This window comes from Homo sapiens, chromosome X, assembly GCF_000001405.40.
Source record: "Homo sapiens chromosome X, GRCh38.p14 Primary Assembly".
Lineage (NCBI taxonomy): Eukaryota > Metazoa > Chordata > Mammalia > Primates > Hominidae > Homo > Homo sapiens.
The window spans coordinates 57,442,600-57,467,143 of NC_000023.11; the positions used below are offsets into that span (position 1 = coordinate 57,442,600).

At 39.1% G+C, this 24,544-nt stretch overlaps 1 protein-coding gene across 14 annotated transcripts in view, besides 2 other annotated features; it reads left to right on the forward strand.

Annotated features, from left to right (window-relative positions):
* The window catches only part of FAAH2 (fatty acid amide hydrolase 2), a 367,606-nt gene that overhangs the window by 321,009 nt on the left and 22,053 nt on the right, over nucleotides 1-24,544 (forward strand). For 7 of the 14 annotated variants that reach the window (NR_148557.2, XM_011530767.4, XM_005261985.4 and 4 more), the window contains 2 exons: nucleotides 4,329-4,440; nucleotides 5,925-6,119. The exons of 2 other annotated variants lie outside the window; for them this stretch is intronic. Coding sequence is in view for 10 of the 12 variants with exons in the window: in XM_011530767.4 (XP_011529069.1) it covers nucleotides 4,329-4,440; nucleotides 5,925-6,119 (307 nt within the window). In the remaining 2 variants the exon portion in view is untranslated. Of the gene's footprint in view, nucleotides 1-4,328; nucleotides 4,441-5,924; nucleotides 6,120-9,531; nucleotides 9,951-24,544 lie in introns of those variants that run through there. 5 more of the 14 variants (XM_017029290.3, XM_047441860.1, XM_017029292.2 and 2 more) reach the window with 2 other exon arrangements.
* Nucleotides 8,917-9,211: a silencer, noted in NCBI's record as "tiled region #14361; HepG2 Repressive non-DNase unmatched - State 24:Quies". NCBI's record gives its function as "represses a minimal TATA promoter and a strong SV40 promoter by Sharpr-MPRA in HepG2 cells {active_cell/tissue: HepG2}" and the evidence as "EXISTENCE:reporter gene assay evidence [ECO:0000049][PMID:27701403]".
* Nucleotides 11,519-11,658: an enhancer, noted in NCBI's record as "active region_29702". NCBI's record gives its function as "activates an Ori minimal core promoter by ATAC-STARR-seq in GM12878 lymphoblastoid cells {active_cell/tissue: GM12878}" and the evidence as "EXISTENCE:reporter gene assay evidence [ECO:0000049][PMID:35858748]".

The following is a 24,544-nucleotide window of genomic DNA, read 5'->3' on the forward strand; positions in this document are numbered from 1 at the left end:
CCCATTTACATTTAAGGTTAGTATTGTTATGTGTCAATTTGATTCTGTCATTATGATGTTAACTGGTTATTTTGCTCATTAGTTGATGCAGTTTCTTTTTAGCATTGACAGTTTTTACAATTTGGCATGTTTTTGCAGTGGCTGTTACTGGTTGTTCCTTTCCATGTTTAGTGCTTCCTTCAGGAGCTCTTGTAAGGCAGGCCTGGTGGTGACAAAATCTCTCGGCATTTGCTTGTCTGTAAAGGATTTCATTTCTCCTTCACTTATGAAGCTTAGTTTGGCTGGATATGAAATTCTGGTTTGAAAATTCTTTTCTTTAAGAATGTTGAATATTGGCCCCCACTCTCTTCTGGTTTGTAGAGTTTCTGCCGAGAGATCCACTGTTAGTCTGATGGGCTTCCCTTTGTGGGTAACCCGACCTTTCTCTCTGTCTGCCCTTGACATTGTTTTCCTTTATTTCAATTTTGGTGAATCTCATAATTATGTCTCTTAGAATTGCTCTTCTCGAGGAATATCTTTGCAGCATTCTCTGTAGTTCCTGAATTTGAATGTTGGCCTGCCTCGCTAGGTTCTTGAAGTTCTCCTGGATAATATCCTGAAGAGTGTTTTCCAACTTGATTCCATTCTCACCGTCACTTTCAGGTACACCAATCAGATGTAGATTTGGTCTTTTCACATAGTCCCATATTTCTTGGAGGCTTTGTTCATTTTTTACTCGTTTTTCTCTAAACTTCTGTTCTTGCTTCATTTCATTCATTTCAACTTCAATCACTGTTACCCTTTCTTCCACTTTATCAAATCGGCTACTGAAGGTTGTGCATTCATCACGTAGTTCTCGTGCCATGGTTTTCAGCTCCATGAGGTCATTTAGGGACTTATCTACACCTGTTATTCTAGTTTACCATTCGTCTGATCTTTTTTCAAGGTTTTTAACTTCTTTGTGACGCGTTCGAAGATCCTCCTTTAGCTTGGAGAAGTTTGTTATTGATTGTCGGACGCCTTCTTCTCTCAACTCATCAAAGTCATTCTCTATCCAGCTTTGTTCTGTTGCTGGTGAGGAGCTGCATTCCTTTGGAGGAGAAGAGGTGCTCTGATTTTTAGAATTTTCAGCTTTTCTGCTCTGGTTTCTCCCCATCTTTGTGGTTTTATCTACCTTTGGTCTTTGATGATGGTGACGTACAGATGGGGTTTAGGTGTGGATGTCCTTTCTGTTTGTTAGTTTTCCTTCTAACAGTCAGGACCCTCAGTTGCAGGTCTGTTGGAGTTTACTAAGGTCCACTTCACACTCTGTTTGCCTGGGTATCACCAGCAGAGGCTGCAGAACAGCAAATATTGCAGAATGGCTGATGTTGCTGCCTGATCCTTCCTCTGGAAGCTTCATCTCAGGGGCATCCAGCTCTGTAAGATGTCAGTCAGCCCCTACTGGGAGCTGTCTCCCAGTTAGGCTACCTGGGGGTCAGGGACCCACTTGAGGAGGCAGTCTGTCCGTTCTCAGATCTCAAACTGCATGCTGGGAGAACCAGTACTCTCTTCAAAGCTGTCAGACAGGACGTTTAATTCTGCAGAAATTTCTGCTGCCTTTTGTTCAGCTCTGCCCTGCCCCAGAGGTGGAGTCTACAGAGGCAGGCAGGCTTCCTTGAGCTGTGGTGGGCTCTATCCAGTTTTAGCTTACCAGCCGTTTTGTTTACCTAGTCAAGCCTCAGCAATGGCGGATGCCCCTCCCCCAGCCTCGCTGCCACCTTGCAGTTTGATCTCAGACTGCTGTGCTAGCAGTGAGTGAGGCTCTGTGGGCTTCGGACCCTCTGAGCCAGGCACAGGATATGATTTCCTGGTGTGCCGTTTGCTAACGCCATTGGAAAAGCACAGTATTAGGGTGGGTGTTTCCTGATTTTCCAGGTACCGTATGTCATGGCTTCCCTTGGCTAGGAAAGGGAATTCTCCGACCCCTTGTGCTTCCCAGGTGAGAGGATGCCCCACCCTGCTCTGTGGGCTGCACCCTCTGTCTGACAAGCCAGTGAGATAAACCTGGTACCTCGGTTGGAAATGCAAAAATCACCCATCTTCTGTGTCGCTCATGCTTGGAGCTGCAGACTGGAGCTGTTCCTATTCAGCCATCTTGTAACCTCGAGCCTACAACCTGTCTTCCAGCTTACTAATTACTTATTCTATTTGTTTAATAATGCATTTGAGAGATTCTCATGCATTTTCAGTTTGTCAAGTGAATTTTTCTTCTTTTTAAATTTTAATCTTTAAAAAATGTCTCTGACGGAATTTGGAATTCCTTCTCTGCATTGTCTTTAAGTTCATTAGGCTTCCTCAAGACACCTATTTTCAATTCTCTGCCTGACAATTCACATATCTCTGTCACTCCTGAATTGGTCACTGGTGCCTTATTTAGTTTATTTGGTTAGGTTATGTTTTCCTGGATGTTTTTGATGCTTATGTACATTTATTAATGTCTTAACATTGAAGAGTTAGGTGTTGTTTTCAATATTCACCGTCTGTGCTTGGTTTGGCCCATCCTTATTGAAAGACTTCCCGTGTATTCGAAGAGGATTGAGTGTTGTCCTGTAAGTGTGTTTTCACTGAATCCATAACAGCAGTAGGTGGCGTCTTAAGCTGAGGAATGCTGTGACTCTTGCCAAATCCCAGAGGCACTGCTTTGGTGGTGTTGAGTAATATAAGGGAAAATTTCCTGGGTCACCAGGTAAAGTAAGTCACTCTCTTGTCTCTCTTTCCCTCAATATGAAGGAGTCTGTTTTTATGCTGAGTTGTCTAGAATTGGGAAAGGGATGACATGAGTACTCCTGTGGCCACTACAGCTGGCAGTGTGCTAGATTAAACATTAAGCTAGCACAGTACGGGGTCTCATCCAAGGCTCATGGCAACTACTGCCTGACTAATGTTTATAGGAGACTCTGGTGCTCTTGAGTCAGAAGTTTGGGAATCCTCCTGGTACTGGGTTCTTCACTTCAGGACAGTCAATTCCCTTCTCACTAGAGTGGGTCTAGAAAGACCATCCAGGAGCTAAGGCCTGTTATTGGGGACTTCAGGAATCTCCTTGTTGCTTCATTTTACTATAGCTACGCTGGTACCCAACTTGCAAGACAAAATCTTCTGTACTTTTCCCACTCCTTTCCCAAAGCCACAGAAGTCTCTTCACCAGCTACATTGCCGGAGTTAAAGGAAGGGTGATGCATGCACTCTTTTGGCCACCACAGCTGATGTTGTACTAGGTTGGGTGCATCCAAAATCAATTGCCTCTGAGAGAACAGTGCAGCTCCAGGGTTTTTCCAAGGCCTGTAGTCCTTGAGGTCTGATGGCCACTCAAATTTACTTCAGGCCTCGGGCCATGTTAGTCAGCTAGTGGTGGAGCCAGCCAGGACTGGAGTTCCTCCCACTGGAGCTGAGAATTTCCCTCATTCAGAACTGCTCTAAATGTTCCCTGCTTTGGTGCTAGCATAATTTTTCCCTATGTTGCATACCACTGGGACAGGGCAGGACTGGGTTGCAATGCAAAGTAGCCCATTCACTTTACTCACCATCCTGTAAGCAAACAAATTGTCTTTCAATGAGGTGCTGATGGACAATGAGGGAGGGTTTGTGTAGGCAATGCAAGACCATCTTTCCTACTCTCTTCAGTGCCTCTTTTATTGATATTTTGTTAAAACCAGTTATTGTGATTGCTCATTTTATTGGTTCTTATGAATGTGTTTTCTTGCATGCATAGTTGTTTAATTTGGTGTTCTTGCAAGGAGGCTGACTGCTGAAGCATTCTATTCAGCCATCCTGCTCTGCCTACACTTCCCTATAACAGGTTTGTTGAGGTATAATTCATATACCATGCAATGTGCCTATTTAATGTATACAATGTAATGGATTTTAGTACATTTAGAGTTGTGCAACAATCATCACAATTTTAGAATATTTTCGTCATTCCTAAAAGAGACCTCGTACTCATTATCAGTCACTCTACAACCCACTCGCACCTCCATAGCCTTAAGTAACCAAGAATCTACTTTCTGTCTCTATAGATTTGATTATTCTGGATATTTCATGTGAATAGGCTCATACGTATGTGATGTCTTGTTACTGGCTTCTTTCACTAGGCACAATATTTCAAGTTTTATCTATATTGTATCATATATCAGCACTTACTTTGTGTGACTGAGTAATATTTTATCAATAAATTTTATTTATGTATTCATCAATTGACTGGTATTTTACTGTTATGAATGATTATTCATATATAAGTCTTGTATAGGTGTTTTGGTCTTTACTATTTTGAGAAAATACTCTTGTATTTTATTTCTTTCCTTCAATCTCAGGAACCTGTGAAATTTGTAGATTTGCTTGGTGACCATGGGAAACATGTCAGTCCTCTGTGGGAGTTGATCAAATGGTGCCTGGGTCTGTCAGTGTACACCATCCCTTCCATTGGTATGTAAATCATATTCTACCTAGACCAGTTTGATGTCCTGTAATATTTCTTAATATCTAAATATAAATTTTGGACTAAAGGCCCCATGCAAGTCCAAAATCCAGTGGGGTACTGAAATCTTAACGCTCCAAAATGATCTCCTTTGACTCCATGTCTCACATCCAGGTCACGCTGATGCAAGAGGTGGGTTCTCATGGTCTTGGGCAGCTCCACCCCTATGGCTTTCCAGGGTATAGCCTCCCTCCAAGTTGCTTTCATGTGTTGGCATTGAGTGTCTGTGGATTTTCTGGGTGTACTGTGCAAGCTATCAGTGGATCTACCATTCTGGGGTCTGGAGGACAGTGGCCCTCTTCTCACAGCTCCACTAGGCAGTGCTCCAGTGGGGACTCTGTGTGGGAGCTTCAACCCCACATTTCCCTTCCACACTGCCCTAGCAGAGGTTTTCTGTGAGGGCCTTGTCCCTCAGCACACCTCTGTCTGGGCAGTCAGGCATTTTCATACATCCTCTAAAATCTGGGCAGAGGTTTCCAAACATCAATTCTTGATTTTTGTTCACCCACAGGCCCAACACCACATGGAAGCCACCAAGGTTTGGGGCTTCCATCCTCTGAAGCAATTACCTGAGCTCAATCTTGGCCCCTTTTAGCCATGATTCTAGCCATGGCTAGAGGGGCTGGAATGCAGGGCACCAAGTCCCTGGGCTCACACAGCAAGAGGGTCCTGGGCCTGGTCCATGAAACCATTTTTTCCTCTTAGGCCTCTGAACCTGTGATGGAAGGGCTGCCACAAAGGACTCTGAAATGCCCTGGAGACATTTTCTCCATTGTCTTGGAGATTAACATTTGGATCCTCCTTATTTATGTAAATTTCTGCAGCCGGCTTGAATTTCTCCTTAGAAAATGGGTTTTTCTTTTCTATCCATCATCAGGCTGCAAATTTTCCAAACGTTTATTCTCTGTTTCCCCTTTTCTGAAGGACTTGCTTTGATGTCCAGGCTGGAGTGCAGTGATGCAATCATGACTCACTGCAGCATTGACCTCCTGGGCTAAAGCAATCCTCCTGCCTCAACTCCTAAGTTGCTGGGACTACAGGGCTCACCACCACACCTGGCTAAGAGATGGAGTTTCATCATATTGCCCAAGCTGGTCTTGAACCCCTGGGCTCAAGTAATCTGCCAGCCTTGGCCTTGAGAAGTGCTGGGATTACAGACATGAGCCACCATGCTCAGCTATAATGGGTTTTCAATTATGTGAAAAATCCTTATGATGAACTATGCAGTAGCAGAGGCTAGAAATGTTATATATAGCATTACTAAAACAAACTAGAAGGAGTTAAAAGTAAGATTATAAAGTTTCCTTTTCCATCACTTACTTTCTCAGTGTTCTATAATGAACATGTATTACTTGAATAAGAAAAGATAAAGAACACTAGGAATTAAAATGAAGTTTATTACCTTAACTTGATATATGATATCATTCTGTAGGACTGGCTTTGTTGGAAGAAAAGCTCAGATATAGCAATGAGAAATACCAAAAGTTTAAGGCAGTGGAAGAAAGCCTGCGTAAAGAGCTGGTGGATATGCTAGGTGATGATGGTGTGTTCTTATATCCCTCACATCCCACAGTGGCACCTAAGCATCATGTCCCTCTAACACGGCCTTTCAACTTTGCTTACACAGGTACCTAATTGTATTCCTTACATTCTGTAATCTTAAAGAAATAGAGATGTATGTTTCCAAGGAAAGCATAATTTTCTTTTGCAGTTGGACAAGTTTTAAACATGCAGGTATAAAAGTGCTGTGTGATTGAAAACTCCAGAAAACAGTTGCTAATGTCATATGTTGAAGATACTTTGCCAATATCTGGTTTCTCCACAATAATCCTACAAGTGCATATGAGTATCCACATTTTACAGAACTGTGCCTCAGGGAGGTTCAGCCACTTGTCTTCTATCACTCAGTGTGATCACACTAGATCCAAAGTCTCCCCTGGCTGCTCTGAATTAAACCAAGTTAAGCTTTTATCAGGATCTGTGGCTTCCCAGAAGATTCTTGTACAGAAGACAATTCTCCAAGGGATCATTTACTTGACTTAGCTATCATCCCCTTTGAATTCAATTCATTCTATTCACCAAACTAATTTTCTTCACCTGGTTTTTAAGCCATGGATGGATCATGATTATGTGAAGTCTAAAGGCCCCTGGACATGTACTAGGTCAGTTTCTATGGTTTCTCCAGAGTCTTGTCCCAGGGAACCACACTATTCTTTGAGATGAAGATAGAGAACTCTTCATCAAATACACGTTCTCACCCAATAAACCTGTGGTCCACTTAAAGTTAGAATTTGGAATCCTTTGCTCTGCAATTTTCTACTTGTGCATCTGGAGGAAGACATTGAATCTTTCTCAACTTATTTCCTATCTAGGAAGTCAGGGTAATCTATGCCTTGCAGTGTTGCAGTTAAGATTAAATGAAATAATACGTGTAAATTAATTAACATAAGGGTTGTGGAGGATGAGGGAGAGGATATTAAACAGTCCCTATCCTTAATTTCCTTACCCTTACTCTCTCCCTGGCTTTGATCACTCACTCTTAATTTCTTCCTTCCTGTCCTTCCTTCCTTCCTTCCTTGCTTCCTTCCTTCCTTCTTGGAGTTTTGCTCTTGTTGCCCAGGCTGGAATGCAATGGCACAAGCTCGGCTCACTGCAACCTCCACCTCCTAGGTTCAAGCGATTCTCCTACCTCAGACCCCCAAGTAGCTGGGATTACAGGAGTGTGCCACCACACCCAGCTAAGTTTTGTATTTTTAGTAGAGACAGGTTTCACCATGTTGGCCAGGCTGGTCTTGAACTCCTGACCTCAGATTATCTGTCCGCCTTGGCCTCCCAGAGTGCTGGGATTGCATACATGAGCCACCATGCCTGGCCTTAATTTCTTAAGTCTTTGAAAAAACATGCTGCCTAAATTGCTGCGTTTAAGTTTCTATCACCTAGTTACTCAGTTTCTGAAGACAGGTAAAATACTTTAGTCAATAGGCTAGAACCCAAGGAGAAATATACTGTTTATACCTTTTGGGGAGGATTTTCCTCAGCTTGAGGCTTCCTATGGTTTGTAACTTTTCCCTCTAGTTTAGCCTTGAACACATTTAAAGAGTGTTCCTTGTAAGCCAGATGATATTCTAGGTAATATGGATACAAGACCCATGATAGATGATAGCTGCAATTTAGCAAGTATCTAATATATACGAGATACTAGAAGCCAGAAATTCTATACATTATCTCATTTATGTTTCCCCCAAATCCCTCACAGCAACTGAAGTTATCTTTGTGTAAAACCTGAGGAAACTGAATGATGTATAAAGTGATTTAAGGGTCAGGGTCAGGACTGAAATTCAGTTGTATTCTATCTGACTTTAAATGCAATGTTATTTTCACTACATGTATGGGTTAATAATGCTCATTCATGTTTTGTTTTTATTGTCTTTACTAAAGCTGAAAATATAAGAGGTTTGTGAGACCTTTTGTCAAAGATGTAGAATTGTTGGATGCCAAATAGGTTAATGTTTTATTCCTGGTTCTTTTTTTTCCTACTGAGAAATACCCCTCTCAGTTTCTCAAGCTTGTATAAGCTTTTTATGTTTGTCTCCTACTTACAAGATGGGTACACTAAATCAGATATTTAATTTTTGAGCCTTGGCTTTCTTACAGCTAAGATGAGGATGCTAGATTGACTTTGAAGGATGGTTGGAAGGATATAATGTAATAATGTGTAGAGTGCTTTAAAATTATTAATAATAGTGATAATGATACCATTTATTGGAGACATGTATATGTTTATATTGATATTAATGTAGGTAATATCAATATCTCTGCTTTACTTCGTAGTATTAGTTATATGTGTTTTCCTTGTTTTATCTATTCCTAGAATTGTTCTGAGTTTTACATGTTTCATCTCATTTTATCTTACAGCAGCCCTATAAAAAGGAGAAATTATTAGTGTCCTCATTTTACAGATGAAGGAATTTAGACACAAAAATCTTTAGGAAACATTTCCAAAGTCACATAGCTAAGATAATATACGAACTGGGACTTTAACCCAGGCCCTATGATTTCAGAGGAAGTGATCTTATTTATTACACAGAAGAGGAAACAGGAGGCTGAACAGGGTCTCTCAGCTATGAAGTGAAGTGATAAGGATTCAAACCCAGGTCTGTCTGACTCCAAATCCTATTGCTTCTAATTAACTCTCTTCCCTTGTTCTTCTGCCTCACTTAGTGCTCAGTGAAGCAAAGTACCTTCTCCTACTTTGCTCCATTGACACTCTACAATGAGAATAAATTTATTAAGCATGTATTGTGAACTATACTGTATGCACTGGTGTTAGATGAATCAGATACATTCCATGCTCTCAGGGAGCTCCTAGCTTAGTACAAGAGACAAACAAATGTTAACAGAGAATTTCAGTAGAAGAAAACAAAGGAAGGCTTTCTGGAATAGGTGACCCCTGATCTGGGTCCTGAAGGAGAACTAGAAATTAATCAGAGGAAGGATGTTGAGTAAGTATTACAATGGTCCACGCAGTACGAACCCCATGAGCAATAGAACAGAAAAACACACAGGAACACTGTGGACAGAGGGTATAAACACTACACTAACTGGAGAGAGTAAGTTTTTAATAGAGGAGTGAGAGGAGGAGCATGAGTTTGAAAAGGTAAGCATGTCATGGAGAACATTCACAGCCATGCTAAAAACTGCAAAAAAAATTTATTTGTCTTGGCACCCTGCCCCATCCTGCTTTCTTTGCATAATGTCACTGGAATAACACAGTAATGAAAGAGAATAATCTAGCCTGCAGATTCTTTGAATATTTGATTAGCCTATGCTATTTCCTGATAACATGCAATCAACAATGTTTCATATCATTGTATCTCAAAGAAGTTATTTACAGTTTTCTTCCACTTTAGTCCTACCACGATTATCAACATAACACCTATATGTCATAATAATTGGGAGAGGTGATTACCAGGACAGATGGAAGGAAACAGCTTACAAAAGTGGCCTTTCACTGGCTTTCTCCCCTCTCCCCACTTTAGGTGTCTGTACTCAAAGATCTCTTGGACCATTTATATCCTGAGATGAACAGCATTGGCCATACAGCATTTTAAAGATCTCATCTGAGAAACCCATTGATATTGGTGCCAGGAATGCTAAGCAGATCTTTTGTGACCTCTTCAGCATCCAGCATTAGAGTGAAACTCAAGATTTATATGTCAGGTTTGGCAAAATCATAACATGCCACTCTCAAGAGTCCCTCTTGTACCCATGCCAGTCATTAACAATTGATCACAGCATTCTTTTTCTCTGAGAACAAACTTGACTTTGTGATATTTAAACAGAGTGGGCTTGGTCACCTCCCCAATTGATAAGCTAGACACACAAAATGAAATGTTCATGTAGTCTAAGCAAAGATTCTACTTAACAAAATAATCTGCTATATTGTTAGCTCTTCAAAGGCTGTGGTCTGTTTCTATCTTGTTCACCTATGTAATCCGCATTGACTAGGACATTGCATTGTTGCACAAAATGCATAATTATTTTTTGTTAAACTAACAAATACATAATTAAAAATATAAATAAGAATGAACATCCCAGAATAACAGAGTAAGAAGCTCAGCAAATTCTCTCTCAAGCAAACCAGCAATAAAACTGGAAAAATTACTGGAAACAACCATTTCAAGTGTGAAAAATGATCAAATGGCATAAAGCAAATTCAGGAGCATTTATTCAAGAAAAATTAGTGATTCCTAATAAGAAAAGTTGGAGTCTATGATATTTAAGCTGGGATCTGTTTTCCCCTCCGCTTCTCAGATACAGCTTTGAGGTACAAAACTTTCACACTGGGTAGGGCAAGGCAGACCTTAAAGACTGACAACTCCCATTCTTTCCAGACCCATGTTACACAGCATCTGTTGTGGGCAAGTAGAGAATACTGCTACATCCAACAGCTTCCATTACCTGTGGCACCTTATTGTGGAAGTTCTAAACAAGGTCATGGCTGGTCATAAGAACTTGCAGCTCTTCAACCCTGCCCAAGAGAGGCTGATTTTACATGAAGCAGAATATGGAAGATCTTAGATACAAAAAATTCCCTGAAAGCTAAAATTTCAGTGATACTAACAAAATTCACAGCAACGTACCCCAGAGGTAGAGAAAAATCAGAATCAAGAGTTGATAAAATATATTAACTAAAGCATCTAGTTTTCAACAAAAATTTATGAGGCATACAAGTAAAAAAGGAAAATGAGACCCACAAACAACAATGCCCACCTCTGCCACTTGTAGCCAGCAGGCCATGCCTGCTAGAGCTTCCAGCCCAGCAGTTCCTCTTCTTTCTGAACTCTGCCAGTGGACACAGCCTCCTGTTATCCAGGGAAACAGAAAAACTGCAGGATAGGTGATTCCACAACCCCCACCACCACTCATAGCCAGGCAGCTAGAACTTCCAGCCCAGCAGTCCCACTTCTGTCTGAACTCTGATGGCAGGAACAGCCTCTAGAATATAACCCAACAGCAGGTCAGGCAACTGCACCCAAACCCGCCACTCATAGCCAGGAAATCCATGTCTGATAGAGCTTCCAGCCCAGCATTCCCACATCTGCCTGAACTCTGTGTGTGGCCACAACTTCTTGAACCCCCGGAAAGCACCTAGACAGGGGATTAAGTGACCCCACCCCATCCCACAGCTCTTAGATGATCAGGACTTGGTGGTGGCCAAGCAAGGGTGAGCCCTCGTTCTCAGATCACTGAGAGAAGTGGAGATACCCAGGTTCATGGGCTGGCAGAGGATTGGGGTGTGCCTTGTTCCACAGGGCCAGCCTGGCAAGGATATGACCTGTCTACTAAATGTGGTCCCTGCCTGAGGGAGCCCATGGACCAGAACACCTAACAAAAGAAGTGAGGGCATGGAACCAGTGATCGAAGGGGGCTCCTCCAAAGCCCAGGAGCCATCTAGGTGAGCGAGTCACCTCTCTCCCCCACACCACAGAGGACTACTGTCATCTTGGCCAGAACACCGAAGAGCCCTGAAAGAGAGTAGGAAGAGCCTATCTGCCTGCTAGCACTCTTAAGCGCCACCTGCTGGATCTCAGGTCAAAATGCAAACCTAAAATATTTTGCAAGTATGTATCACCTGTGAAAACTAAGGAAAAGATCCAGCCAGAAATAAACATTCTGTACAAAGTCATGACCCTTTGAAATATACCCAGAAACAAAGCCAGCTGACTATCCTCAACTTATCTCACGGGTGAAGAAACATCAACCCTTACACATGAGAAAGAATGAATCCAAGAACTGGCAACTCAAAAAGCCAGTGTTTGCCCTTACCTATAAACGTACACATTAGCCTCCCAGAAATGGTTCTTAACCAGAGTGAGCTGACTGTGGACATAGAATTCAGAAGCTGGATGACAAGGAAGCTCAGTGAGAATGAGGAGAAAGTTGAAACATAATCCAAGGAATCCAATAAAACAATTCAGTAGCTGAAAGATAAAATATCCATTTTAAGAAAGAACCAAATTAAATTTTTGGAACTGAAAAATTTACTTCCAGATCTCCACAATAGAATCTGAAGCATCAGCAGCAGAAAAATTAAGATGAAGAAAGAATCTCTGAGCTGGAAGACCAGCTTATACAATCAACTCAGTCAGACAAAAATAAAGAAAAAAGAATTTTTGAAAATGAAAAAATCCTTTGAGAAATATGGGATTATGTAAAGATACCAAATGTATGACTCATGGTGTTTTCAAAAGAAAAGGAGAGAGAGTAACTTGTAAAACATATTTGAGGATATAGTCCATGAAAATTTCCCCAAACGTCCCAGGGAGGAGGACATACAAATTCAATAAATACACAAACCCCCTGTAGATACTACACAAGATGACAAACCGGAAGGTACATAGTCATCAGATTCACCAAGATCAACTCAAAAGAAAAACTCTTAAAAGTAGCTAAAGAGAAAAATCAGGTTACCTACAAAGTAAACCCCACCAGACTCTCTGTAAGAACTCTCTGTAAGAAACCTACAAGTGAGAAGAGATTGGGGGCCTATTTTCAATATTGTTACAGTGAAGAATTTTCAACCAAGAATATCATATTCCATGAAACTAAACTTCATAAGCAAACGAGAAATAAAATTCTTCCCAGACAAGCAAGTACTAAAGGAATTTATTATTACCAGACCACCCTTACCCGAGTTCTTTAAGAGAGTGCTAAATATGAAAATAAAGGACCAAAACTTGCTACCTCAAAAATCCACTCAAGCACATGGCCCATAAACAATATAAAGCAGCTATGCAGTCAAGTCTAAAAAACAGTCAACAACATGATGACAGGATCAAAATCTCATAAATTAATACTAACCCTGAATGTAAAGGGTCTAAAAGTACCACTTAAAATGCATAGAGTGGCAAGCTAGATAAAAAGATAAAACCCAACAATCTACTGTCTTCAAGAGACCCATTTCAACTGCAATGACACCCACAAGTTCAAAGTAAAAGGATGGAGAAAGATCTATCAAGCAAATAGAAAACAACAACAACAAAAGATCAGGAGTCATTATTCTTACATTAGATTAACAAATTTTAAACCAGCAACGGTCATAAAAGACAAAGAAGGGTAATACTTAATAATAAAGAGTTCAATTCAACAGGAAGTCTTAACTATCCTAAACATATACACACCCAATGTAGAAGTACCTGGATTCATAAAGGAAGTTCTTCCTAACCAATGGAAAGATTTAGACAGCCACAAATAATAACGGGGGATTTTAACATCCCACTCACTGAGTTAGACAGATCACTGAGGCAGAAAACTAACAAAGAAATTCTGGATTGAAACTTGACATTTGATCAATTGGACCCAATCAACCTCTACAGAGTACTCCACACAACAACCACAGAATATATATTTTTCTCATCCATACACAGAACATATTCTAAGGTCCACCACATCCTTGGACATAAAGCAAATCACAATAAATTCAAAGAAATCAAAACCATACCAAGCAAACTCTCAGACCATAGTGCAATAAAAGCAGAAATCAATACCAAGATCTCTCAAAACTACCAGAAAATGGAAATTAAACAACTTTCTCCTGAATAACTCTTGGGCAAAAAACAAAATTAAGACAGTAATTAAAAATTACTTTGAAATTAATGAAATAGGAGACACAGCTTACCAAATCTTTGAGATGCAGTTAAAGCAGTGGTAAGAGACAAATTTGTAGTGCTAAACACCTTCATCAAGAGGTTAGAAAGATGTCAAATTAACAACCTAAAGACAGTCAGATAAACAAGAAAAAAGAACATCCAACTCCGAATAAAGTAGAAGAAAATAAACAACTAAATCAGAGAACTGAGCTGAATTCAGACCTAAAAGACCATACAAAACATCAATGAAAACAAGTGTTGCTCCTTCAAAAGAATAAACAAGATTGATATACCATTAGCTAAACTAACAAGGAATAATAAAAAATAAAGATCCAAATGAGCACAATGAGAAATGACAAAGATGATATTACAACTGATTCCACAGAAATAGAATAGTTCCTTAGAGACTATACAGAACACCTTTGTGAACACAAGTTAGAAAATATAGATACAATGGATAAATTCCTAGAAACACACAACCTTCCAAGATAGAATCAGGGATAAAAGTGAAGACATGAACAGATAAATAACAAGTTCAGAAATTGAATCACTAATAAAAAAACTTACCAACAAAAAAGAGCCCAGGACCATGGATTCACGGCCAAATTCTACCAGACATATAAGGAAAAACTGATACCAATCCTACTCACACTTTCCCAAGAAAATCGAAGAAGAGTCTTCTCCCTAATGCATTCTATGAATCCAGCAGCATTCTGATACAAAAATCTGGCAGAGACAAAATGTAAAGTAAAATAAAAAAAAATTCAAGTCAATATCCCTGATGAACATGGATGCAAAAATTCTCAACAAGATAATAGCAAACTAAATCCACCAGCATATCAAAAAGTTAATCCAACACAGTCATGCAAGTTTTATTTCTGGGATGCAAGGTTGATTCACCATACAGAAATCAATAAATGTGATTCACCAAATAAACAGAATCAAAAGCAAAAACTACATGATCATCTCAATAGATACACAAAAAGCCTATAATATAATCCAACATCCCTTAATGACAAAAGCCCTCAACAGATTAAGCATTAAAGTAGCATACCTAAAAATAGTAAAAGCCATCTACGACAAACCCACAGCCAACGTAATACTGAATGAGCAAAAACTGGAACGGTTCCCCTTGGGAACTGGAACAAGACAAGTATGCCCACTTTCACCACTCCTATTCAATATAGTACTGGATGTGCTAGCCAGCGCAATGAAGAAAGGGAATAAATAAAAGGCACCCAAATAAAAAGAGAGAAAATCAAACTCTCTCTCTTTACTGATATGATTCAATACCTAGAAAACCCTAAAGACTCTGCTAAGTCTCCTGGAACTGATAAATGAATTCACTAAAATTTTAATATACTAAACCAATGTACAAAAATCCTAACATTTTTATACACCAATATTGTTCTAGGTGAGAATCAAATGAAGAACAGAATTCCATTTACAATAGCCACAAAAAAAAAAAAAAGGAATACCTAGGAACCCATCTAACCAATGAGGTAAAGATCTTTACAAGCAGAACTGCAAAACACAGCTAAAAGAAATCAGAGGTAACACAAATAAATGGGAAAATATTTCATGCTCATATATTGGAAGAATCCACATAGTTAAAATGGCCATACTGCCCAAAGCAATTTACAGATTCAACACTACTCCTATCAAAATATTAATGCCATTTTTACAAAATTTGACAAAATTATTTTTAAATTCATTTGGAACAAAAAAAGAACCTCAACAGCTAAAGCAATATTAATCAAAAAGAGCCAATACAGAAGCATCACATTGCCCAACTTCCAAATGTACTATAAGGCTACAATAATCAAAACAGCATGGTACTGCTGCAAAAAAAGACACATAGACCAAGGAAACAGAATTGAGAACCCAGAAATAAACCTGCCACCTACAACCATCTGATCTTCAACAAAATGAGCAAAAGTAAGCAATGGAGGAAAGGACTCTCTATTCAATAAATGGTACTATAATAGTTTGCCTGCCGTATGCAGAAGAATGAAACTGGATCTCTACCTGTCACCATATATGAAAACTAAGTTAAAGTAGATTAAATATTTAAATGTAAGACCTCAAACTATAAAAATATTGACAGATAGCTGGGCAGGTGCCCTGTAATCCCAGCTACTCAGGAGGCTGAGGCAGGAGAATCGCTTGAACCCAGGAGGCAGAGGTTGCAGTGAATCGAGATGGCACCACTGCACTCCAACCTGGGTGACAGAGCAAGACTCCATCCAAAAAAAAACAAAAAAATCCTAGAAGAAAACCTAGGAAGATGGATGTCGAGATGGCTGAATAGGAATAGCAGCTTCAGTCTGCAGTTCCCAGTGAGATCAACGCAGAAGGGGAGTGACTTCTGCATTTGCAATTGAGGTAACCTAATCATCTCGCTGGGACTGGTTAGGCAGTGGGTGCAGACCATGGAGGGCGAGCAGAAGCAGTGTTGGGCATTGCCTTACCCGGGAAGTGCAAGGAGTGGGGGCCTCCGTTCCCTAGCCAAGGGAAGCCCTGAGAGACTGGGCTATCCAGCCCATTTACTATGCTTTCCCCACAGGTTTGCAATCCAAAGAACAGGAGATTCCCTCTTGTGCCTACACCACCAGGGACCTGGGTTTGAAACACAAAACTGGGAGGCTGTTTGGGCAGTCACTGTGCTAGCTGCAAGAGTTGTTTTCTTGTTGTTTCCCAGTGGCGCCTGGAACTCCACCAAGACAGAACCGTTCACTCCCCTGGAAAGAGGGAAAGGGGGCTGAAGCCAGAGAGCCAAGTGGTCTCGCTCAGTGGTTCCCACTCCCATGGAGACAAGCAAGCTAAGAACCACTGGCTTGAAATTCTCACAGCCAGCACAGTACTCTGAAGTCAACCTGGGACGATCTAGCTTGGTGGGGGGAGGGGCATCCGCCATTACTGAGGCTTGACTAGGCAGTTTTCCCCTGAGAGTGCTAACAAGGCCTGAAAGTACAGGCTGAAGGGAAATCAACACAGCATGGCAAAAGCAGCTATGGCCAGACTGCCTCTCTAGATTCCTCCTCACTGGGCAGGGCATCTCTGAAAGAAAGGCAGCAGCCCCAGGCAGGGGCTTATAGATAAATCTTTCATCTCCCTGGGGCAGAGCACCTGGGGGGAAAGGGTGGCTGTGGGCACAGCTTCAGTGAACTTAAACATTTCTGCCTGATGGCTCTGAGGAGAGCAGCAGATCCTGACAAGGGGGTTTCTCCCAGCACAGTGGTCAAGCTCTGCTAAGGAAGAGACTGCCTCCTCAAGTGGGTCTCTAAACCTTGTGCCTCGTGACTGGGATAGACCTCTCAACAGGGTTTGACAGACACCTCATACAGGAGAGCTCTGGCTGGCATAAAGCCAGTGCCCCTCTGGGATTAAGCTTCCAGAGGAAGAAGCAGGCAGCAATCTTTGCTGTTCTGCAGCCTCTGCTGGTGATACCCAGACAAATAGGTTCTGGAGTGGACCTCCAACAAACTTCAGCAGACCTGCGGAAGAGGGGCCTGTCTGCTAAAAGACAAACTAACAAAAAGAAAGCAACAACATCAACATCAGCATAAAGAAACCCTTACAAAACCCCATCCAAAGGTCACCAGCCTCAAAGATCAAAGGTAGATAAATCCACTACAATGAAGAAAAAACAGCACAACAATGCTGAAACTTCCAAAAACAAGAATGCCTCTTCTCCCCCAAGTGATCACAAATCCTCTCCAGCAAGGGCACAAAAATGCATGCAGAATGAGTTTGACGAATTGACAGAAGTAGGCTTCAGAACGTGGGTGATAAAAAACTCATCTAAGCTAAAGAAGTGTGTTCTAAACCAATGCAAGGAAGGCGTGAAGACAAGATTAGAGAAAAAAGAATGAAAAGGAATGAAAAAAGCCTTCAAGAAATATGGGACTATATGAAAAGAATGAACCTACGATGGATTGGGGTCCCTGAAAGTGATGAGGAGAATGGAACCAAGTTGGACAACACACTTCAGGATATTACCCAGGAAAACTTCCCCAACCTAGCAAGACACACGAACATTCAAATTCAGGAAATACTGAGAATACCACTAAGGTACTCCTCAAGAAGAGCAACCCCAAGACAGGTAATCCTCAGATTCTCCAAAGTTGAAAGGCTGGAATAAATGTTAAGGGCAGCTAGAGAGAAAGGTCAGGTTACCTACAAAGGGAAACCCGCCAGACTAATAGCAGATGTCTCTGCAGAAACCCTACAAGCCAGAAGAGAGTGGGGGCCAGTATTCTCAAAGAAAAGAATTTTTAACTCAGAATTTCTTATCCAGCCAAACTAAGCTTCATAAGCAAATGAGAAATAAAATCCTTTCCAGACAAGCAAATGCTCAGGGATTTTGTCACTACCAGGCCTGCCTTACAAGAGATCCTGAAGAAATCACTAAATATGGAAAGGAAAAACTGGTACTAGCCACTGCAAAAATACACCAAAATATAAAGACCAATGACACTATGAAGAAACAGCATCAACTAACGTGCAAAATAACTAGCTAGCATCATGATGACAGAATCAATTTCACACACAACAATATTAACCTTAAATGTAAATGGGCTAAATGCCCCAATTAAAAGACACAAACTGGTAAATTGGATAAAGAGTCGAGACCCATCATTGTGCTGTATTCAGGGGACCCACCTCACGTGCAAAGACGCACATAGGCTCAAAATAAAGGGATGGGGGAATATTTACCAAATAAATGGAAAGCAAAGGAAAACAGGGGTTTCAATCCTAGTCTCTGATAAAACAGACTGCAAACCAACAATGACCAAAAAAGACAAGAAGGGCATTACATAATGGTAAAATGATCAATGTAAAAAGAAGAGCTAACTATCCTAAACATACATGCACCCAATACAGGAGCACCAGATTAATAAAAAAAAAAAAGTTCTCAGAGTTCTACAAAAAGACTTAGACTCCCACACAATAATAGTGGGAGACTTTAACACCCAACTGTCAATATTAGATGGATCAATGAGGCAGAAATGTAGCAAGGATATTCAGGACTTGAACTCAGCTCTGAACCAAGCAAACCTAATAGACATCTGCAGAACTCTCTACCCCAAATCAGCAGAATACATTCTTCCTAACACCACGTAGCACTTATTCTAAAATTGACCACATAGTTGGAAGTAAAACACTCCTCAGCAAATGCAAAAGATTGGAAATCATAACAAAGTCTCACAGAACACAGTGCAATCAAATTAGAACTCAGGATTAAGAAACTCACTCAAAACCACACAACTACATGGAAACTCAACAACCTGCTCCTGAATGACTACTGGGTAAATAACAAAATTAAGGCAGAAATAAATAAGTTCTTTGAAACCAATGAGAACCAAGACAGAACATACCAGAATCTCTGGGACACAGCTGAAGCAGTGTTAAGAGGGACATTTATAGCACTAAATGCCAAAATCAGAAAGGGAGAAAGATCTAAAATCAACACCCTAACATCACAATTATAAGAACTACAGAAGAAAGAGCAGACAAATTCAAAGGCAATCAGAAGACACAAAATAAGATCAGAGCAGAATTGAAGGAGATAAAGACTCAAAAAAACTTTAAAAAAAATCAATGAATACAGGAGCTGGTTTTTCAAAAAGATTAACAAAATACATAGACCACTTGCCAGACTAATAAAGAAGAAAAGAGAGAAGAATCAAATAGACACAATAAAAAATGATAAAGGGAATGTCACCACTGATCCCACAGAAATACAAACTACCATCAGAGAATACTATAAACACCTCTATGCAAATAAACTAGAAAATCTAGAAGAAGTGGATAAATTCCTGGACACATACACCCTCCCAAGGCTAAACCAGGAGGAAGTCACATCCCTGAATAGACCAATAACAAGTTCTGAAATTAAGGCAGTAATTAATAGCCTACAAAAAAAAAAAAAAAAAAAAAACCCAGGACCAGACGCATTCACATGAGGATTCTACCAGAGGTACAAAGAGCAGTTGGTACTATTCCTTCTGAAACGATTCCGAAGAATAGAAGAAGAGGGATTCCTCCCTAACTCATTTTATGAGGCCAGCATTGTCCTGATTCCATAACCCGGCAGAGACACAACAAAAACAGAAAATTTCAGGCCAGTATTCCTGATGAAAATGGATGCAAAATTTCTCAATAAAATACTGGCAAACCGAATCCACCTGCACATCAAAAAGCTTATCCATCACGATGAAGTCGGTTTCATAACTGGGATGCAAGGCTTGTTCAACATACGCAAATCAATAAACATAACCCATCACATAAAGAGAACCAGTGATAAAAAACACATGATTATCTCAATAGATGCAGAAAAAGCCTTCAATAAAATTAAACACCGCTTCATTCTAAAAACTCTAAATAAACTAGGTATTGATGGAACATATTTCAAAATAATAAGCACTATTTATGATAAACCCATAGCCAATATCATACCAAATAGGTAAAATCTGGAAGCATTCCCTCTAACAACCAACACAAGACAAGGATGCCGTCTCTCACCATTCCTATTCAACATAGTATTGGAAGTTCTGGCCAGGCCAATCTGGCAGGAGAAAGAAATAAAGTCTATTCAAATAGGAAGAGAGGAAGTCAAATTGTCTCTGTATGCAGATGACATGATTGTATATTTAGAAAACCCCATCATCTCAGCCCCAAAACTCTTTAAGGTGATAAGCAACTCCAGCAGTTTCATGATACAAAATCAGTGTGCAAAAATCACAAGCATTCCTATACACCAATAATAGACAAGCAGGGAGCCAAATCATGATTGAACTCCTATTCACAATTGCTACAAAGAAAATTTAAAAACCCAGGAATACAACTTACAAGGGACGTGAAGGATCTCCTCAAGAAGAACTACAAACCACTGCTCAAGGAAATAAGAGAGGACACAAACAAATGAAAAAACATTCCATACTGATGGATAGGAAGAATCAATATCATGAAAATGGCCATACCACCCAAAGTAATTTATAGATTCAATTCTATTCCCATCAAGGTATTAGTGACTCTCTTCACAGAACTAGAAAAAACTAATTTAAATTTTATATGAAACAAAAAAAGAGCCCATATAGCCAAGAAAACCCTAAGAAAAAAGACCAAAGCTGGAGGCATCATGCTACCTGACTTTAAACTATATTACAAGACTACAGTAACCAAAACACCATAGTATTGGCACCAAAACAGATATATAGACCAATAGAACAGAACAGAGGCCTTAGAAGTAAGAACACACTTCTATAACCATCTGATCATCGACAAACCTGACAAAAACAAGCAATGAGGAAATAATTACCTATTTAATAAATGGTGCTGGGAAAACTGGCTAAACAGACACTTCTCAAAAAAAGACATTTATCTGGCCAACAAACATGAAAAAAAGCTCATCATCACTGGTCATTAGAGAAATGCAAATCAAAACCACAATGAGATACCATCTCACCCCAGTTAGAATGGTGATCATTAAAAAGTCTGGAAACAACAGTTGCTGGTCAGGATGTGGAGAAATAGGAATGCTTTTACACTGATGGTGGAAGTGTAAATTATTTCAACCATTGTGGAAGGCAGTATGGCAATCCCTCAAGGATCTAGAACAAGAAATACCATTTGACCTAGCAATCACAGTACAGGGAATATACCCAAAGGATTACAAATCATTCTACTATAAAGACAGATCCACACATATGTTTATTGCAGCACTATTTACACTAGCAAAAACTTGGAATCAACCCAAATGCCCATCAATGATAGATTGGATAAAGAAAATGTTGCACATATACACCATAAAGTACTATGCAGCCATAAAAATGAATTAGTTCATGATGTCCTTTGCAGGGACTTGGATGAAGCTGGAAACCATAATCCTCAGCCAACTAACACAGGAACAGAAAACCAAACACTGCATGTTTTTACTCAAAAGCGGGAGTTGAACAATAAGAAGACACACACACAGGGATGGGAACATCACATACCGTGGCCTATTATGGCATTGGGGGAAAGGGGAGCAAGAGCATTAGGACAAATACCTAATGTATGCGGGGCTTAAAACCTAAATGATGGGTTGATAGGTGCAGCAAACCACCATAGCAAATGTATACCTATGTAACAAACCTGCACATTCATCACATGCATCCCAGAACTTAAAGAAAAATAAAAATAATTTTAAAAAGAAAGAAAACCTAGTAAATACTTTTCTTGACATGGGTTTTGGCAAATAATTTATGGCCAAGTTCCTAATAGCAATTGCAAAAAAAAAAAAAAAAAAAAATTGACAAATGAGTCCTAATTAAAGTAAAGGGCTTCTGTGCAATAAAATAAATTACCAATAGAATCAACAAACAGTAACAGAATGGGAGAAAATATTTGCAAACTATACATCCAACAAAGGCCTACTATCCAGAACCTACAAAAAACTTAACAAATCAACGTGCAAAAAAGAAACCACCTGAACAACCACATGTTGGGTACTATGTTTATGACCTGGAAGATAGGATCACTAGAACCTCAAGCCACAGCATCATACAATTTACTCAAGTAACAAATCTACATGATGTATACCATTTAATATATAATAAAAGTTGAAATTAACAAAAAAAACAATGACAACAAAAACAAAATCAGGCAATAGAATCATTCTTTTATCTTGGACTTAGAAGACAAATAATACAATGAGGATATTTAAGGATATTCAGACAACTAAAGAAAACCATGTTCTAAGAATCAAAAGATGGAATGACAGTATTTTATTAAATAGAGACTATCATTGAAGAGATGAAAGTTATTTGAAAGAAAAAGCAAATAGAAATTTTGAAGTTGAAAATTAATTAAAATTAAAATTCACTAGAGGAGCTCAACATTATGTTTTAAATGGAAGAATAAAGAGGAAAGAATCAGCAGGCTTAATGATAGATCAGTTGGCATAATTTAATCTAATGAACAGAGAGAAAAGCAAAAGAATAAAAATAAACAGTCTCAGGGACCATTGTGATACCCATCAAGCATACTAATATATGCATATGGAGAATTCCAGAACGGGAGATGAGTAAGAAAAGATGAATCAAAAAAAGTTTGAGGACATTATATCTGAAAATGTGATGAAGTTAACAAACTCTAAGTAGGACAAATGCAAAGATATCCACCCTAAATAAATGAAAAATTCAAAAGTAGCAAAGAAAAATAACCTACCCATCAACTAGAAGGAAACCACAATAACAGTGATGGATGAGTTATCAGAAACAAGGAAGCCAGAAAACAGTGAGATGATATTTTTAAAATAATAAAAGACAGCCAACCAATACTCTTATAATTCACAGAATCTTTCAAATGTTAAGACAAAATAAAAACCTTTGCAGATAAACTAAAACTGAAAGAGAATTGTGTTGCTAGGAGATCATCTTTACAAGAAATACTACAGGGAGTTTGTCTTGGTGAAAGAAAGTGACACCAGACAATAATTCAAAGTCATATGAAAAATCAAGGAGCTCTGGTGAAGGTAATTACAAAAGACATAATAATTACAAATTTATTATTATTTCTTCTCTTGCTTTTAAAAATAATACCCAAAACAATTATTAAATGGTATGTTTTGAATTATATATAAATGTAATATATATGACAGCAATAGCACAAAGGAATGGAGAAGGAATAAAGCTATATTGTAACAAGAAAATGACACTCAACCATAACTGAAATCCAAAAATGGAATGAAGACTACTGGAAATGGTAAGCAGGTTAATGCAAAAGACTCTACAAATGTACTTTCCTCTTTTTTCTTGTCTTCTTTCATACACACGCACACATAAAAACACATACATACATTATATAAAGTGAAAGCTATAGCACTGTATTGTTGGATTATCTCTCTCTCTCTCTCTCTCTCTCTCTCTATATATATATATATATATATATACCCACACACACATAGTATACATAACTATAATAACACAGAAAAGGATTAGAGAATGCAGCTATTTTGCTGCAAACTTTTTGTATTTTACTGTAAATTAGTTAATAGATTCTGAAGAGTTAAGATGGCTGTTTTAATCCATAAATCAGTCACTAAAAATACCTCAAAATATAGCCTAACAACTCAAAACTAATTAAAATAATATACTGGAAAAGTATATATATGTGTATATATATCTTAATTAAAATAATATACTGGAAAAGTATATATATATATATAACAAAAGTATGTAAAAGAGGAACAGAAAAAACGAGGCATATAGAAAACATGTAGCAAATCAGGTATATAAATACAACAATTTCAGTAATAACATTAAATTTGAATGGAACAAACACTCCAATCAAACGGCAAACATGCCAGGCTGGATGCAAAAAATCAAGGATCAACAGTATGCTATATACAAAGGACACAATTAAGATTCAAATAGATTGAAACTAAAAGGATGGGAAAAGATATTTCCTATCTATTATTTTCCCCACTTGAGATATTGGAAAGCACTCAGCAGTCTCCACAGAGTATATACACAAGGCTTCTATTGAAAGGCAAAAGGTATAGGGCAGTGACAGTCTAAGAATGCAGACAAGCATTAAGGGTGTGAAATAAATACATTGTAGGCAACCATTGTGGATGTAGGATTGATTTCATAATGCAAGATGCCTATGAGCCCTAATCACATACACAGACCATGCTGAATCTTGAGCTTTAATAATCAAGATTTGTACAAGGAATCTTGGCTTATAGAGGTCTCAAAAACAAGCTCTCCAGAGGTGGTTTTGCTGCTGTTGTTTTTGTTGCTGATGATGATGATTTTTGTTACCCTCACCACATAATTAAGATAGACTTTCCAAACAAGTTTCAATCTATTATTAAATAAGTTGATTTGGGTTCCAAGATGGCCAAATAGGA